General features: G+C 40.9%; 1 protein-coding gene across 11 annotated transcripts in view; it reads right to left on the bottom strand.

Annotated features, from left to right (window-relative positions):
* Nucleotides 1-19161, bottom strand: part of AMOTL1 (angiomotin like 1) — a 170289-nt gene that overhangs the window by 32782 nt on the left and 118346 nt on the right. For all 11 annotated transcript variants that reach the window (XM_005273798.5, XM_011542626.3, XM_006718772.4 and 8 more), the window contains 2 exons: nt 13773-13917; nt 12426-12515 (listed from right to left, as the gene is read on the bottom strand). In XM_005273798.5, coding sequence (XP_005273855.1) covers nt 12426-12515; nt 13773-13917 — 235 coding nt within the window. The remainder of the gene's footprint in view (nt 1-12425; nt 12516-13772; nt 13918-19161) is intronic.

Raw genomic sequence — 19161 nt, 5'->3', positions numbered from 1 at the left:
TGTCCAGGCCCTCTATGTACCGTGCCAGAGCCCCAAGTCCAGCACTGGAGGTTCACTCAGAGAATGAACCTCCGCGTGAAGAGGCCAATGCTTCCTAACCTGGAATGCTCTATGAAATAGACAACTTTCATGCTATCTGCCCAGCTAGTCCAGTGCTGATCAACACCAATGGCATCAATTCTGTTAACTATAAACTTCTCCACAATGCTGCTGAAATGAACTCCTCTTATGAAAAGATGTCCAAATAATTATCTGCCACATTATCCCTCCCTAATGTTTCTCCTCCATTTCTTCTTCCTCAGTGATCCCTCAGTTCCAAGATACCTGGCACCATATCTGATAATACTGAACAGATGTTGGAGAGGATTCTATTCCAAGGGACAGCTACAATTTATAGGGTAATTGAAGGGTCAGATTTATTAGAAAGTCCTTGTTGATACCAAAGGTAATTTCTTTTTTTCTGAGGTTGTGGGAGTGGAAAGACAATAGGAAGATATTTCATTTACTTTACTGTCTACAAAACTATTTAGGTTCCTTCTGCCTCAAAGATATTCCACACTCAGGGGCCCCTTCTTAACATCTGCCCCCACATCCTCACCCCAGTTTGAGTCAAAATGATGAACCTAGAAAGAGACTCAAAAAAAATAGAATCCAAAAAGAGCACTGGTTACAACACATACGAGTGATCTATTCACATGAGGCTTATTTGATGCAAAACAACATGAAACACGATCTACTTTTTAAAGCCACACATTAATTCACAAACAGAAAAGCAATATGATACAACGCTGACCTTAGAAGATGCTGGTTTGATTTTTTGTTGTCTTTTTAAAATTTGCTGATGGTTTCTTGGGTAAGGAGGCTTGTTATTTGGGGAAAGGGTCTTCAGCTTTCTGCTGTCCCTGAGCTCTGGTGCAGATTACCAGGGTTCTGCCAGGCAGCTGGATACATAGGCTGCAAGTGGGTGGTTAAGGTGGGTCTATTCACAAACAGGAACACTCCAGCGAGGGCTGGTTTTAAATGGCAGAGAGAGTGGAGTGTTTTTAAATGAGTTATGTAATAAGGAAAATTAAGAAGGGGAATTCAAACCAAACTGTTCTGCAGAACCCTGGGAGAGGGACAGGGAAGGGAGGGAAGGGAGAGAAGGGACATTGGGGCCAAGTGGGAAGGAGAGGAGTTCTGAAGATGAACCCATCTCAGCCAGAAATTTCTTCAGCTGTCCTTCATTTTACATATTATGCTTCCACACTATCTGAACAAGAGTTCTGAGTTTGAAAGCTACTAGTTTAGTCATTACAAAAGAGACAAAGATTTGTGGAAATGGCTGCTGTTAAAATGTGGGGAAGAAATCTTCTGGAGAGATGGATAATATGGGAAAATGAGGTAAAGCCTAAAGTGCAATGCATTTATTCAAACTCTGTTGCCTAAATGTAAAAGAATAGGAATGTCCCTGTTGACACAGTGCTGTGCAGCAAAATTCTTCTAAACTGTTAATGACTTTTCAAGGCCCACCCTAAAGGCTATAGGCTTCTCCCCCAACCCACTTTTTTTTTGAGGTGGGGGTTCTTTTGAGTGTGGTTCTCTAACAGGTCCTTGCCACATTCTGCCTTGCACTCTAGGTCCAGTGGCTGATGTGTGTCTGTCTCATTTTTCCTACTGGACCTCTTCATAGTGACTAAGCTCTCTTCACGGTGCGTCGAAACCCTTCTATCTTCGTAGGACTCTAAAGATCTAAGATAACCGACGTGTCTTATATGTGAAGAAATTAAGTTTAGGCAACAGCTTATTGAATAAGAGGATGCTATTGGTATATAATCAAATTCTAACTGAGTCTTTAAAACAGTTTTCAAATACTTGTTACTGAAAAGTAACAAAGCCTAACCACAAAATCTTCTATTGGTCTAATATAGGAAAACAACACATTTTTGTCTTAACATAGTTATAATATTTTTGTTATTTTATATAATTTATCTATTGCTCTTATCCAGAACCCGCAGTGAGTTTAAAGCACCAAAAGTAAAATATCTCAGGTAGGATTTGGTAAAATATTTATTTGACTCTCTACCTGTAGAAGTTCTCTTAAATACAATTTTCTCTGATCTAGTTATTCCTCACATTGCACTTTACTTCTGGAAATTGTGCTTACACATTTAGGGGTAATTCAGAGGTTTTTTTACCCACCCAAGTTTATTACATATGCACTTTACAAACTTGCCTGACTGAGGAGACACCCATTCATCCAGCTCAGCTTCCAAATGTACTGTTCAACCTTTCACTTTATTTTGTTTTACTTGAAATAAAAATGTACTGCTACTTCGACATCACTGCTGACAGCATAATAAACTAGATAATGAATTAATAATGCCACATAAATATAGGAGGCACAGGGCTCTTGGTTTCGACTATATACATACTAGTGATTCCATTTTAAATCAAACCTGAAGACTTAAACTTTTTGTAACCACCACTGAAGAAAAGTGCTTTTTTGCCTTCTTTTTTCTTTCTTTCTTTTTTTGAGACAGAGTCTGGCTCTGTGGCCCAGGCTGGAGTGCAGTGGTGCCATCTCGGCTCACTACAACCTCTGCTTTCTGGGCTCATGCGATTCTCCTGCCCCAGCCTCCAGAATAGCTGGGATTACAGGTGCGTGCCACCACGCCCAGCTAATTTTTGTATTTTTAGTAGAGATGGGGTTTCATGGTGTTGGCCAGGTGTTGGCCAGGCTGGTCTTGAACTCCTGACCTCAGGTAATCAGCCCGCCTCAGCCTCCCAAAGTGCTGGGATTACAGGTGTGAGCCACCGTGACTGGCCTTGCCTTCTCTTTTCTTAACATAAAAAACTGACACTTCTAGTTGCAGATATGACAAAGTAAGACCCTCCTGGACGATTTGGCTCCTGTGCAGAGAACAACCATAAAACCTGGCCATAATATAAAGAATAATGATCTGAAGGTGTTAAAATGTGAACAGAAGCAGACAGTTTCTGATGGGGAGTAGCAGCTCACTTACAGAGGTGAGGAGAAGCCATACTAGCTATATAAGTTCTGTACCTTGATTTTGCTCATTGTTACATTTCAGGAAATAGGACATTTAAGTGTGTAAATTTTACTGGATGTAAATAATGTCTTAATTGAAATCAATATAGGTATAAAACAAATATAGGTATATAAATATGTATATAACATGTATATACTTATATTTGTTTTAACTAAGGCATTAAGGCATTATTATATGTGTGTGTACATATATATGTATATATATATGTGTGTGTGTGTGTGTGTGTGTGTGTATATATATATATATATATATATATATACGTTTTTTAAGTGGCCCCTCTGAATGGCAGATATGGCTTAATCAAAGCTTGCCCCAAAGACAGAAGTTATGCTGGGGAAATCATTACATCCGGCGGAAAAAGTTGTTTATGCTAGGACTGATCAGGGATGAAGAAATGTGTTGTCTACAATTATATTCTCTCCCTTCTTTTAACTTCTGTAACCCCTCCCACTGTCATTTTTGCAACTTGCTTTGAATAGATTCCTTTTTTTCCCCCTTCTTTCTACCAAACCAGTCTTTGTAAGCAAAAAGAAAATTAGTAACAGATGCAAGCTTATTTTTAATGGTCTACGACCAAATTTTCTGGACTTAAAACAAACACTTTGTCCCCTCAAAAGTTCTCTGAATCCATTAAGATACAGCTGTAGGCTCTCACTATAATTCACGAACTAAAAATAGTTTTGAAAAATAATTGTAAGAAACCACACCACGGAGTTACTCGTTGTATTCTGCTTATTTTTTAATTTTTATCATCCAGAGAATAAAGTTTGATTTCACAGACATTTTGAGAAAGCTTTCTCTTTCTTTCTTTCTTTCTTTCATTAACTCTAAGCTCTATTCTGATCTCAAGAAAATAAATTTGGGGCAGGGGGTATCTGAAGAGGATACACTGGATTATCCAACAAGGCCTTTTATTATAATTGGCTCTAGTTCAAACATAGATGTAAAAGCCAAAGGCACAGAATGTTAATTCCAGTAGTTGGAACTCACTTGAGAAGATCTGAATACATTAGTATTAAGTCACAGCGCTGGGCTAAATAATTAGCAACCAATTAAGACTTCTAGTATAAAAATTTTCTAGTATAAAAACTTTGTTCATTTACCATCCAAGATCCTTCCCAGTGTAAAAACATGAAATCCTCGGTCAATCCCAGAGCCGACAAAATTGACCTTTTGGAAAAGGGGAAGCAAAAAATAAGAAAAAGGAGGTCCTAATTCTAGTTGTGGTTTAGCCATTAAACACTTGATCACTCCGGTTGCAGTTTCTTCTTTGTAAAATGTGAACGCTACACTAATGAGCTCTAAAATCACCAGGAGTTCAACATTGCCACCTCTCACATTCTAACATCTCTCCACTCACCTGGTACGTAGGAGATGGCTTCCCCATGGCAGTTCAGTATAAGTTTGGGCTCCAGAATCGAATGACCTAGGTTCAAAATCTGTCTGCTTCAGTTATCAGCCTGTATGACCATGGACAAGTTACTTAATCTTCCTGTGCCTCAATTTCTCCATCTGTAAAGTACCTGCAATACTTACCTCAAAGGTTTGTTTGGAACAGTAAAAGAGACAATGTACCTGTGAGGGCTAGCAGAGTGCTTGGCTCACAGTAAGTGCTCAATTAGTGTTCAATTAGTGTTGGCAGCTGTTACCGTTGTTAAATGACCACAGCCGGTCTGGCCTGAACCAGGCAGGACCTGAAGGATGGAAACTGGGGAGCAAACCTGCAACTCCACCTGAGGATACACTTGTAACCAGCAGCTCCACAGCCTCCAAAGACACTGACACTTGTGGCGGCCATCAGATGGCTGGTTACTGGGCTCTGGTTCTGAAGACACAGGCATTACTGGTAACCACACTTGTAACCTTTAAGGTACTCTCCAAATCTGATATCCAGATCTGCAGACCTCATTTCACAGTAGGATCCTTATGGTGAGAATTTATGGCACCACTGGGAGAGGCACCCCTAAGACTTCACTATCCAGCCAATTAACTATCATGGATAACCACAGGGCTAGTCCTGCCCAGACCTTTCTCCATCATTAGCTAATTGTGAATCCTCACTGGGAAACTAAAATTTTTTACTGCATTTCTATGTCTCAGTTTTCTGTTTTTCTAAAATGATAATAATTATGTTCCCCTGATGTGGGATTAAGAGAGAAAATAACAATTATATCTTGATTTATACATTAAGGCAATTTACAAAGTAAGATCTAGGGAATACTTTTGAAGTTCTTTATTTTGCATCTTCCTTCAATATTTTCTCCTTTTGTTAGGGTTCTTTCTTCTTCTTTTTCCATGACTAGGTTCCTGGAACCGAGGTCAGCAAAGTATGACCTGCAGGCCAAACCCAGCCCACAGCCTGTTTTGGTAAATAAGGTTTTTATTAGAACAGGGCTACACCCATTTGTTTATGGATCATCTATGGTGGCTTTGGGGCTACAGGGACAGACTTGAGTAGCTGTGGCTCTCAAAGCCTGAAATATTTACCAGCTGGCCCTTAACAGAAAGAGTTTGCTGACTTGTGGCCTAAAACACAGTGAGTTGATAGTAGATAGCCTATATGACTGTTTGCTTGAATAAATGATAATGATCATTTCATTCAATGTCCAGCAAATATTTATTAAATGCCTCTAAGTGCCAGGCACTATGCCAGGTTCTGAACATACAATGAGTTGGGACTCCAATGTGAAGATGACAGACAGGGCCCCTCCCCTTATGGTGTGTACAGTTTAGTGGGGGAAGATAGAAAAGGATTATCCAAACAATTACTTATTTACAGTTGTGATGAGTGTTTACAGTGGAAAAAAGTACACAGTGCTGGGGGAGTATATAAAAGGAAGATTTAACCGTATCTCAGGAACTCTTCCCTAAGCAACTGCCATTTAATTTAAGCTTAGGCCTGAACATGGATTTCCTGGTTCTGAATTATTAGGGAAAGCAAGGGTTCCCTGATGCCAGAAGAAATGCAAATGGATTTCAGTATGTTTTCCAGTTTGTGCTTACTCCATCCATCTATCTGACTATGTAGTGCAAGGAATGTTCAAAAGTTTAAGATGCTTGATTTTTCAGCCTTATATATAACAGGAAAGCCAAGCAAATAAATAATTTTAAAACCAACAACGTGAAAATCATAACCCATGTGTAGTTGTTAAAGGCCAGACATCAACACATGACCAATAGGCACTTCTTCAATCAGCTCCATTCTTTAAGCATGGCAAATCAGAGCCTAATTTGAGCCTAAATTGAGTAACATTAATTTTCACACTTGGGGAGGAGATGTGATTGAACATAAACAGATGCCCTGCAGGCTGTGCGCACTTCTGGTTGTCATGTAGGTCTGAAGTTTCTCAGTGCTGCCTATCAAGGTTGATCAAGTGGGCTTAAGCACTCACATGCTTTGCTTTCCAAAGTCAGTGAGGCTCAGTAAACCACGCAGGCATTCTTTGGGAACATGGCCCACTCTCCCACCCTGAAAGTTGGCAGGTCCTTCTGGAGAAGGTGCATGCCAAAATAGATGCAAGAAGGCAGGGAGAAGTGTTGCAGAATACATGTATTTTATAGACTCTGCTTCACATTTCCTGTCACTGGTTAGCCCTCAGAGCTCTGGCGGCTAAATTGGGAGATTCATTCTTCTATTACTTTAAAGGAAATAGAGGTGCAGGTAGATTAAGCATCTAACTTCAGGTCTCTGAGCCTGTTAGTAAGACACCAGGACTCAGGAGATGTGGCAGCTTATCCAAGACAATTTGCTGGAGCCTGGACCTACAAAACTTTGATTTTTAGAACTGCATAGTCCTACTACATGTAAGGGTCATTTTCAGGAGAATCAGTTAAGACAACTTTCTTGATCAAAATGATGTCACCCTGGCAGGCTTCTTGGACAATCCTTCCCCTTTGCTCATGGTGTAGATCTGCAGTGTCCAGCATGGCCTATGGATTGGTTGGTGTGAGCACCTGGCCAGTTGTTACCAAAACCTTTATCTACCAGACCAATTCTCACCTCCAACATATCCACAGCAGGGTAAATGGGAAGGAGTTAAAGGAGTCAAAAATGGACTATACTAATGTCACCTTTCTTGAGAAATACTATTGTTCTTAATAATGAAAGACTCCTATTATCTGGATATTCTTCTATTCTAAAAAAAAAAAAAAAGAAGGAAGGAAGAAAGAATGCAAAAAAAGAAATTCAGCTATTTTTAAATTGCTTTTATTCTGATAGTAGTTTAATAATTTTACCCTAATATCTTGAAATAACAGAGGATTACCTGGGGTTTCTCTCAACATGACTGGAACATTAAGTTTAAAAGAATATTTTGATACTGACACTGCATAAGGATAATTTCAAGCCTATTGTCACCAGGATTTTCCACTCTTACTCATTCTCTCAATAAACATTTATTGAATGCCAGGTACATGAACATGCAAGGGGTTTTGGTGGGGGATGAATACTGGTGAAGAACGTCTATAGTTCTCTCATTTAGTGGAGCGTCACCCAAATAAATCATGACCTTACAGGATGCAGAATAAATGCTGTAACAGGAGCTTCACCCCAAGGAGCCCAGAGTCAGGAGCAGCTGCAAGCACTAGTGCTGATTGGTCCATAAGAGGAGGTAAATCAGTGTGTTCACGTGTGACAACATCTAGCCTTCCTTCCTAATGATGCTTGATAGAAACCCATAGCATCTGATGTAATGAAACCTAATGAGGATTCAAAATAATCTCCTTATGCTCTATGTGGGTCAACAGAATAAATGTTTATGTCATCTTAATTTCTGATCTGTGGTTCACACAAGACCTTATAGAAATAAAAAAACCAGGAGGCATTTTCTTTTAGGAAATGATTTTAGTCTCCTTTAAGTTCTATAAGAGACAGAAAACGAAAATAGCTAAAATAAGATTCAAGGGTAAGATGATGATTGCCAGCCAGCTACATTGAAAACAGCAAATTATTATTTTTAAAACAATATGGTCCAACACATTTTTTTCTGTTAATTTTTAGACCTGCAAGAATTTTAAGGGAAATCAAATGCATATAGTTCTGACTCATTTACACCCATGACTCATCAATATGTTGTTTTAAACAAATCATTGAATGTCCAAGAAATCTTCTGTTTTTAGAGAGGCACATCATTTAACAGCCAGAATCTTAACACAAACTTGAGTTTAACCAGATATGTTGAACCTGCAGTGCCTAGCAAATCCCAAAGCGGTGGAGATAGGCTCTTGTGCAACCTTTAAACATGATTTGGGTTTATCCCAAAATAACGCAAACATGCCAGAGCTAATCAGGTCCCACTCAATTCAAGAATACAACAAAGCTCCAACATAACTATTTAAAAACCCCAATAAAATGAAATTTCATTTCCACCAGTTCATTTTCTTCACATCTAATATTTTATTTTTGGCTTTCTGGCCTAGAGCTGATGGGAATTCTGCAGCGCTATCCATTTTCGAAAGAAACAGTTTTAAAAAGTTTCCGTGACTGAGAAGACACAGCTAAGAATGGTAAGAGGTATTTCCAGGGGTTCTGCCTTTAGCAGACAGTAACCTGCCTCTGGTATGCATGTGTGTATGTGACAAACAAATGGGAAAAATGAGAACCTTAGTTAAGTTGAGGGACAAAGAAGCCCGAGTTTCTCACAGCCAGACCAAACAGGAGTTGGCTAGAGGCCCTGGTTTTCAGGAGCAATTTGGCTTTGACATCACCATCCTATAAGCTACAAAAACATTTGGAAAAACAAACAAGCAAGACCAGAGAATTCACAGACAAACAAAAAGCTGAATTCCTCCAAAGAGAATGTTACAATACCATGAAGTGACAGGGGAAAAAAATTCCTCAAGGGCATCAAGCTCCTAAGCACTTAATTCTTCAAGATTTTTTGTATAGACAAATCTCATGACTTGGGGGAGTACAATGAGCCTGTTTCATGTCCACTTCAGTCTTTAGAATTAAGTAGTAATTACCCAGGCAGTCCACCAAGGCCTTCATAAAACTCTAACTTAAGAGCAGAGTTCAGTTTTTAGAAGAAAACTACCCTGAGCAGAGGGAAATGTTTAAATCTGGCCAGGAAGGAGCTCCTCCCTCCATTAACTGGGAGATCTTTCAAGTCCCACCTGCTGCTTGAACTGCAAGAGTTGTTTGGGTGTTCTTAGACTTGGATGGCTAGTTTCCGTGCGAACACCTAGCAAAAAAGCTGAGCATGTTATTCTCTACTTCTCCCTTCCCTCTGACTCTCCCATTGCCAAGGTGGCTGGCAGAAGCTTCACAGCCTAACTCGGGCTTCTTGGTATGTATTACTCCAAGACATAACTTTTTTTTTTTGAGACGGAGTCTCGCTCTGTCGCCCAGGCTGGAGTGCAGTGGCGCGATCTCAGCTCACTGCAAGCCCCGCCTCCCGGGTTCACGCCATTCTTCTGCCTCAGCGCCCCACCCCGAGTAGCTGGGACTACAGGCGCCCACCATCACGCCCAGCTAATTTTTTGTATTTTTAGTAGAGACAGGGTTTCACCGGGTTATTCAGGATGGTCTCGATCTCCTGACCTCGTGATCCACCTGCCTCGGCCTCCCAAAGTGCTGGGATTACAGGCGTGAGCCACCGCGCCCGGCCCGAGACATAACTTCTATTGCAGTCTTGCCTTTCTTCTAACCAAGTGCTAGAATCCCAAAAAAAACTCACTTGAAAAGGATGGCTTCCCTTAAGTGGGCAATATTTATAATTATAATCACTAGGTGTTTGAAATTTACTCTAACAATAGGGTTTCTGAACAAATATACAGATAATGGAACACATTAATAACTAGGAAGAGAGGCAGTAATTCATGCCTGCCATTCTGTACCCACATGCTAAAATGAAAGCCTGACAGAGAGCACCATCCAACCTTCTGAGTATCTTTGCACCTATTGTTATACCTGCTCACTGAGCTGTGGGTTGCAAGGTGAGATGACGAACATGTTCAAACCTTAAGTCATTATCTAATCCCAACCTCCTCCTCCTGCATTTTATTGGTAAAGGGTGATCATCCATCCAGCTGCTCCAGTCACATCCCTTTTTCTCACTGCCATTATTCAATTGGTCAACCAAGTCCTACTAAGTTGTCATTTGTTTATCTGTCCCCTACTCTTCCTTGCTATTTCCACTGGCTTAGTTCATGACCTCTCTGTCTCCTCCCCAGAAACTGTACTGAAATACCTGCTAACTAGTCTCCTTGCCTCTAGGACAGTCCCTCATGAATTTCTCCTCTGCTCTGCCTCCCAAGTTAGCTGCCTAAATATGTGCCTTGGAAACAATGAAATCATACTCATAATTTGAAGAAAACATTGGTGAATATTATTATAACCTGGGAGGGTAAAAGGTATTTCTAAGCAGGACAGAAAACCTAGAAGGCACAAATGTGGTCACTTAAAAGTGTCTTCTATAAGATAAAGAACAAAGATTAAAAACAACTGGAGAAAATATCTGTGACATATATATGTGGGGGACATGCTAATTTACTTAATAAAAGAATTCTTACAACTCACTAAGAAAACAACCTAACTATAAATTTGAAATAACATCTTGAGTCCATCCCTTGGCCACACTAGGAGAGGAAAAACTAATGTAAATAATTATAAAGCTGTGAAGGCACAAAGTGTCCTGCAAAGATTAGGTGTAAGAAAATTGGTTAGGTATCACCATTACCAAACCTGCTTCAAATGCTCTGCCTAGATTCAATTACATTACATATCGACACTGAGATCCTTTAAGCAGTTGAAAAATGCCTCTGGTCTCTTGTGTTTGCCTTCAGAACACAAGTGGAGCATATTTGCACAGAACAAATAATTCCTTGTCAAGCTGGAAGGGCCTCTTTGCTTGATAATTGATGTTTCAGCTTTGAGCCAGAAGGTTAAAGTCTTTCTGAAGAACATTTCTGAGTTCACACAGCACTAAACCCTATTACTCCATTATTCCACACCAGCCTTGGCTGGGAGGCCAGAACAATGCCCATCAGGTGAAACTGAACTGGCTTTTCCATTTTGACCTGAACTAAGTAATCAAATTATGTCCCTTGACAAGAAGGCAAAGTATCCACAGAGTGTACAACACTGGCATTGCTAACATACCTGCCAAAGACACTAACTATACCTAGGCATGCGGTCATCCAGAAGGAATGTGTCACGATCTTAAATGCAAGTAGTAAAGACAACTCACCTTTCAAATGAAACCAAGGTGAGATCTATTGCACCCACAGGAAGAGATATAAGATAAATTTTGTTACAAAAGCAAGTAATTCAAAGTGCCGCTATAGCCTTTTATGTGAATCTGGAACATGGGCCAATCATCTGAGACCACAAAGGAATCCCAGGCAAAAGCCCTAGATAGTATTAGTGTCCATTTGCAAAAAACGGAATTTAAAAAATATAGCTAGTATTAATAGCTGGAATGCAATAATTAATCAATCTGGGGGACACACAAGAGGTTAAACCTAACCAAACAGTATTGGAAATCAGAAAATTTAACCAATTATTTTCCAGTCTTTAAAATGTAGGGCTGCACTGAGGAACCCACACATCAGAAGACCCCATCATAAGACAGATGGCTAGTGCCTGAATACATTACTTTTTGTTGTTCTGAATTGTCTTAACTTTGTGAGCACTTACTCATAATCTTATTGAGAATTATGATATAGATATGAATTCCATTTTCAAAACAGCTTAAAAAAAGACAGTTGGATTTTTAAATTTCTGGCTAGTGCAATGAATCTGCAGAAATTCAAACCTTGACCAATGGTTTCTCAAAATCCATTTGATTCTATCATTTGCCTCTGCTAAAATTAATAAAATATTCTCCCAATAAATCAAGGCTTACAAAGCCACTGTTCATTATTCCTGGCTGAAATGGTCTCAGTGGCTTCTGGAAATGAGTGTTACACATGGAGATATATAATGCGATCACTTAGATGGCTTGCACACTGGCAAGGGGCAGCCAGTCTAGAACTCCACAACCTATACGAGGACAAAACCTCCCTAGAGAGAACCAAACCCCACCACTAGGCTGCCTTCCATTTCCTGGAGAAAAAGGGTTGTAACTTATCTGAAGTAGTGAGTGCCAGGACATGCTATGATGTTGCTATTGCTTGAAGGGTATTATAGAGAGAGAGAGAGAAACTGTAGGTCAGAGGGACAGAATAAACATTACTAAAGCAACACACAGTGACCTCAGCTTTGTCTCGGGCAGACCTAGGAGGGCCTCATCTGAGATCAATAGGTTGTATGCTAAATTAACAAACAAAAAGCAAACAGCACAAAACCCACTTGAAACTAATATGATTCTTCCTTCAGGACCCCGTTTTTAAACAAACAAACTTTGGGATAATAAATAAGTGGAGACTCACTCTGGGAAGCATAATGCCCCTCTGCAGCTTTGTCTTCATGCCCTTCGTATTCCCTGCTGGATAGTTGCCTGTTAGCAGTCTCTAGTCGATCTATGAACAAAGAGGAAATGATTACAAAGAAATGTATATGGATTGAAGTCATCATCTAACCAAGAAATGAAATATGTGCCAAGAGCTGGGGAGGAAGAGATGCTCAGGCAGGAGCCCAAAACTGAACAACTTGGGGACAGACAGTAACTATGTCCCAAAATATCAAAAGAAAAGGCTTCAGATGCCACACTGTGTCTTTATGCGATCTAATGCCAAATGATATGCACGAGCAGCAGGCAGCTAGGGAGAGGTGCTGAGAAAAACCACCTCACTGCCTCCAAGGCCAGCAAACCTGATTTGAAGTATTCACAAAGACAGTCTCCTTGGCCTCAAACCCAGCCCTAGTCTAATCTTGATCATCAGCTGTATATTTTAGCCAGTGACAGCTTTTTGTATCTCAGAATCAAAGAAAAAAAATAACGAATACCAAAAAAAGTCAAAATGACCTAATGTATGAAGACTGTACACAGCAAGTTCTATGTTTGCTCAAACCACTTGGTAAATCTTTAATTATTCAATAAATAATCCAACTCAACAAGTATTCACTGGATGCAGATGATACTCAACCCAAAAGAGTTTGTAGCAACAGAAAAGGTGGGATCTAGCTACTGGGTACTACCAGGATGTTGAGTGTTTTGACATATGAAGCAACTGAAAATGGCTTGGCTGAAGGTGAAGTAACATTTATAGGTTAACTCATTGTGCATATTGGAGACTGCCAAAATCCAGCAGCAGGTGGCTCCTATCTTTCAGCGAGTTTATTGTCTACTTATTTCACAACTGTGGGGACTTTTTCCCCCCAGGGGGAAAATATGTCTAGCTCTGTCTTCTATTGTCCACCTAGCAATAGTTAAGTGCTGCTTTTCAAAGTGTGCTACCAAATGACAGCCCCATGTGGAAAGGGTTGTGCGTCTAACATTAATCTTTTCAAACATTTGGATTCTCATAGCCATGAATCGTGGTTGAGTACTTTCAAAGCAAGAAGGAGCCGCAAACAGAATCCCTTCCTTTGATAGACTCATGCATACAGGCTGTCACTTCCAAAGCTTGATGCTGCAATATACAACCCACAAGGCAGAAAAGAACAATTCTGCTTTTTGAGCACCTCCTCCCTTCCCCAGATCATTGAAATACACAAGATTATCCAACACAGGTAGACCAGTACCTGTGGCAAAGCACTCTGGCCTTGAAGTCGTGCTTTTAGCTACACTAAAACTCTACAGGTAGTTTAGATAGAGAGAACATGAATAAACCTGCCTCGGAGGTCTCTGTTGAAATCATGAAGTCTTCTAATCTCGCCTTCCAATTTGTTTCTCATGGCCTTGTCCAGCGATTCTCGCTTGGTGGTAGACTTGACCAGACTTTCATAGGCTTCCGAAATTCTCTGAAGTTCTTTTTCAAACTAAAAGAAAGAACTGGCATTAAAGTGGTACCTTTGACATTCATGCTGGTGTCTTGGTAAAATGGATTCTTAGACATTGCCAGTGTGAAGGCTGTATCTTCAATGCAGTCTTTCTGCATCTCAAGTTTCATGTGTACCAAACTGTATAATCGATTTCACTCCCCCACCTGCTCTCTAAAGACTACATTAGGATCTTGTAAATTACAGGCTCACAAGTCTGGCCGAACTGTCTGATGTCACCTTGTAAAAGTCCCTCTGTACCAATATTAGAAAGGGGTAAATCTAATCATAACTTAAACCTCTTACACTTTTAATGGCAATTTATAGCTATTATGATTATTCCCAGTTAACATCAGGAAAATATTAAAGTACAAAAAAAGAAACGACTATAATTAGAACCCAAGTTTCCAGACTCCAAGTACAGTGCACTTTCCAGAGACACTTCTATCTGTCCCCAAAGGAACATAAAATCCACTGGAGGAACGGCTTCATTACCTAGTATTTTTATTCCTTTGTCTATAAAATTATCTATATGGTGCAGTGGCTCACGTCTGTAATCCCAGCACTTTGGGAGGCTGAGGTGGGTGGATCACCTGAGGTCAGGAGTTTGAGCAGTCTGGCCAACATGGTGAAACCTTGCCTCTACTAAAAATACAAATATTAGCTGGGCATGGTGGTGGGTACCTGTAACCCCAGCTACTTGGGAGGCTGAGGTGGAAGGATCGCTTGAGCCTGGGAGGCGAAGGTTGCAGTGAGCAAGATCACGTCACTGCACTCCAGCCTAGGGCAACAGAGTGAGATTCCGTCTCACCAAAAAAAAAAAAAAAAGGATTAATGGACATGTACCTAATCATAAACAAATATATCACAGACAATCTCTTTATATTCAGGAATTGATAGCCAAGAAATTAAAATCATTTAAAAAAATATTTCACTAAATCAAAAACTAACTGGGGAAGCCTTTAATCTACGGCACATATAAATTGATAACAAATAGCTCTATTCTAACAGGAGTTTGATATAATAGTGTGATTTTGATGTAGATATCAATAAATCCCATTGTATTGTTATGTAACATAAATGCAAGAGAAAGGGTAAAGACCAGGTGAGGGTGCCTGCAAACATGGATGGATGCTTGATGAGATGCTGCTAAGGTCAGAATCAAAGGCAAAGCTGATGGGGTTGAAAGCACTAGTGCCCTTCACTGGGTCCCAGATCACAGCCATGTTTTCAGTCCTTCCATAAGACAGCAATGGCACCAGGAGCCAGGGACCCTCTTTTCTGAGCCCCAACTGCCCAGATCAGAAAGTCCTGCCAAGACTCCTATAAATAATAAATATCTGAACAGATATTCATTGTTTGCTTACATGTCAGGTGTTTTTCCAGATGCCAACGATACAGAAATAAGGACAGCAATTCCTGGCCTTTAGGAGCTAGGAGTCTTAAGTTGGCCTGTAAATATTACAAAGAGATGGTAGTCCAGGAATGAGGGCAAGGTAGAAGTGGCAGGAGGTAGGGCCAGAAGGAAGGACTTTAAATTATGGGCAGGGGAGGCTTAGTGGGGGTGAGAGATACTGGGGAAGGAAGATTATAACTCTGATCTCATCCAAGTTTTTATAGAGACAAAACTAACAGATGGGGTTGGAGGGTGGGGGTTTATGGGAGAGGAGGTAGAAGAGATATCCAGGTAAAAAGCTAATGTAAACAGCTCAATGACAGATGACAAGGGCCTGAACTATGACACTAAAAGGGCAAATTCCAAAGACACTAATGAGTAGAATCAACAGGTTTTGGTGACTGGGTGCAGACAGTAAGGAAGAAAGAAAGCAAATACAACATAAACATTCACAGCTTAGAAGATGGGGTAAGGAGACTTAACCAAGATAAATGATTATAAGAGAAACAAGCTCACTAAAGAAAGAAAACCAGTCTGGGTTTGGAGATACCATGTTTGAGGAACCTGCTGCACATATTGGCGAAGATTTCCAGTTAGCAGGTGAACATACAAGTCTAAAAGCCAGGAGAGTGGCTGGGTGTCCTCAACGTACAGATGACAGATGACATCAGAAAGCGGAGACCACTCAGGGAGGTAAACAGAAGATTAGAAGGCCAAAAAAGCATTCACGCCAAAGGAGGGGCAGGGCACCAGGGAAAAACTGAAGCCAGTGGAGCCGTAGGAGCCTAGAAGCCAAAAACTTAAAGGAATGAGAGATACTGTGGTCAGCACCCTGAGAGGTTACAGAGGAGCCAGGATATGGCTGAGAAGAGGCTGATGAACAGGCTGGAGAGCACGGGGGCTTCTGCTTAGCGGCAGCCAACTGGAGCCGAGCTGAGATAACCAAGGTTCCCTTCGGTACCACCTTATGTTCCCAAAGGCCTCCTTATACCAGAGTTGGTTCTTCTGTGGTCCCCTCATTTCAACAAGGCCTTTCTGATTCGTCCACAGATATCATGAACCGCTGGTAATGCAGCAGCACAGAGGACAGTATGTCCTAAATCCTGTTCATAGCCTTACCATGAATTATGATCCTGTCTTTAAATTTTATTCACAAAAGAGATGGCTCCCAGACACACTAACACTTCTTTGCTGATTTTATCTATAAAAGGTGGCCTTTGTTTTCAGACAGCTGGGCATGTCACAGGAACAGTCCCCATCAAGACCAAAGGGCATCATCAAGTCACCAGGGAAGATGAGAGTACCACACACTTTGAGGCATCCACCATGAGAGTGGTGTTCAGGCTTCCAGTCTAGGACAACTAGCGAGGCTTCCTTAGCTACACCCACAGGGACCCTTCTCTTGGTCTGATTTTATAGTATTTTTTATCTGTTGTATTTCCCTCATTGGAATTCTAATCTGCATCTGCACTGTGCGGCTCTGATTCGACTACTAACTCCTTGAGGGTAGAATAGCTCTTACTTTCCTAGAACTATGCCTTGCCCATGACAAAATACTGACTGATTAATTAATCTTTAAATGTATAACTTCTAAAGACAGACTTGGACACTGAATCATGCATTCTTTCCTTTTACTCAAAGAACCTCCCTCTGCATACTGTCAAAGGAAACTTCAGGATCCCTACCATGATATAGTTTACTATCTCAAATCCTAAAACAATCAAGACCTGACATAAGGTTATCTGCTTAGAAGGGACCTAGAAAAAAAAACAAGGATCTTAGTTCAGAACAAGGTAATTCCTATGAGAACTGATAGCTGTAATGGTAGAGAAAGACTAATCCCCTTCAGTGCATGCTATGGATATGGTTTGTCCCCACCAAAACTCATGTTGAAATTTGATTCCCAGTGTGGTGACATTGGGAGGTGGGGCCTAGTGGGAAGTGTTTGGGTCATGGGGGCGGGTCCCTTGTGAATGGCTTGGTGCCTTTCTCGCAGTAGTAAGACTAGACTGGATTTTGCAGGAATAGATTAGTTCCCATGACAGCAGGTTGTTATGAAGAAGGACGTGCTCTTCACGTTTTGCCTCTTTATACATGTCCACTTCCCCTTTGACCTTCTGCCATGTTGTGACACAGCGTAAAAGCCCTCGCTGGAAGCCAAGAAGATACCAGTGTCATGCTTCTTAAACTTCCCAGCCTGCAGAATCACGAGCTAAATAAATCACTTCTCTTTATAAATTACCCAGTCTCAGATATTCGGTTATAACAACACAAAAGGGAATAAAAAAGTATGATTACAGAGGACAGAGTTATGAGTAAATGTAGGAAGTTAAATAGATGCAGGGTTTTTTTGATTTTGCTTTTTGACAGTCTCATTCCATCACCTAGGCTGGAGTGCAGTGACACAATCTTGGCTCACTGCAAACTCCACCTCCTGGATTCAAGTGATTCTCATGCCTCAGCCTCCAGGGCAGCTGGAATTACAGGGGTGCATCACCATGGCTGGGTAATTTTTGTATTTTTTCTTTTTTAGTAGACATGGGGTTTCACCATGTTAGCCAGGCTGGTCTCGAACTCCTGATCTCAAGTGATCCACCTGCCTTGGACTCCCAAAGTGCTGGGATTACAGGGGTGAGCCACCACACCTGGCCAAGATGTAGATTTTGACTTAACATAAAGAAACATTTCCTAACTACATTTTCCAGAAGTGTAGTATACCCATTAGTGAGCTTCTCTTCTCTGGAAGCATTCAAGTAAAAGATGAATACCTCCTTTCAGAGAATGACACAAGGATTACTAAGGAATGGGAAGTTGAAGTAGACTCATTTTAAGAATTTTAAAACTAAAGCTTTTTATTTCTGACTGTACACTGCTTCAGAGTAAAACCACACCTTCTTCTTTCTATTACTCCATGTTCAGAACATCTTAAGCACCCTCTGATATTTGTTAAAGATACAGGGAGGGTTAGACAGGCTGGTTTGATACAAAAACTATCCAGACCAGCTCAGACTCTGAGTACAGTGCAGGAGGGGAATCCCAGTTTACCTTCCCAGCTCTCATTCTCCTTTTCGGCCTAGGTGTCAGGGAGCTCTTAGGCCAGGCTGTAAGAATCCCTGCAATCACAGAAATACACTCAATGTCCCAGAGACAGAACTACAAGCAGAGCAGAAAGCCCTGCATGACTTCCACTGGCACTGTTGTAATAAGCAAATGGACAGAGAAGGCCCTGAGAAAATCTCAGCCATTCCAAGCTCCAGATACTGGTTTTTTCCCCTGAGCACCTTCACGTGCAACACTCAGGGATCCACAGGACCAAAGAAAGGCCTGCTGTGCAAGCCACAGACTGCCCAATCAAAGCCACCTTTGTTTCACTCACAAAAGAGGGTCTTCACTAAAGCAAGCCTGGGGTAACTGTTAATACTTGGCCCTCTCCCATCAAGTGCCCGTCTATTCCCTGATGGCTTTCAAGGCCAACCCACTCAACAGCCCACAGTCTGGCCCTGGTAGAAACTCCATCATTAATTAAGTTTCAGGGAAACCGGGAGGAAAAAGATGCAAAAAAAATAACCAAAAGGAAAGACTGAAAACATCATCTCTTTCTGGGGGTCCTCGACCATCATTCCAACATTAACAGTGATAATCACTACCTTGAGCCTCTTTGGAAACAGGATCTTCATATCTAGGCTGGGATTTTATAGTCTCTGAATTTAATCGTTTTCTTCTGCTGTGTTCCTGGCACAGTATGCATAGGCTAAATTCTGCAATTAAAAATTCATCTATTTTTAGTTCTGCCCTTACAATGCATCTCTGCAAGGGCCAAAACATTCCCAATGCTGCGAGGAACTCAG

This window comes from Homo sapiens, chromosome 11 (genome assembly GCF_000001405.40).
Source record: "Homo sapiens chromosome 11, GRCh38.p14 Primary Assembly".
Classification (NCBI taxonomy): domain Eukaryota; kingdom Metazoa; phylum Chordata; class Mammalia; order Primates; family Hominidae; genus Homo; species Homo sapiens.
Note: the sequence above shows the minus strand (reverse complement) of the source record. Positions and strands in the feature narration are given on the sequence as shown.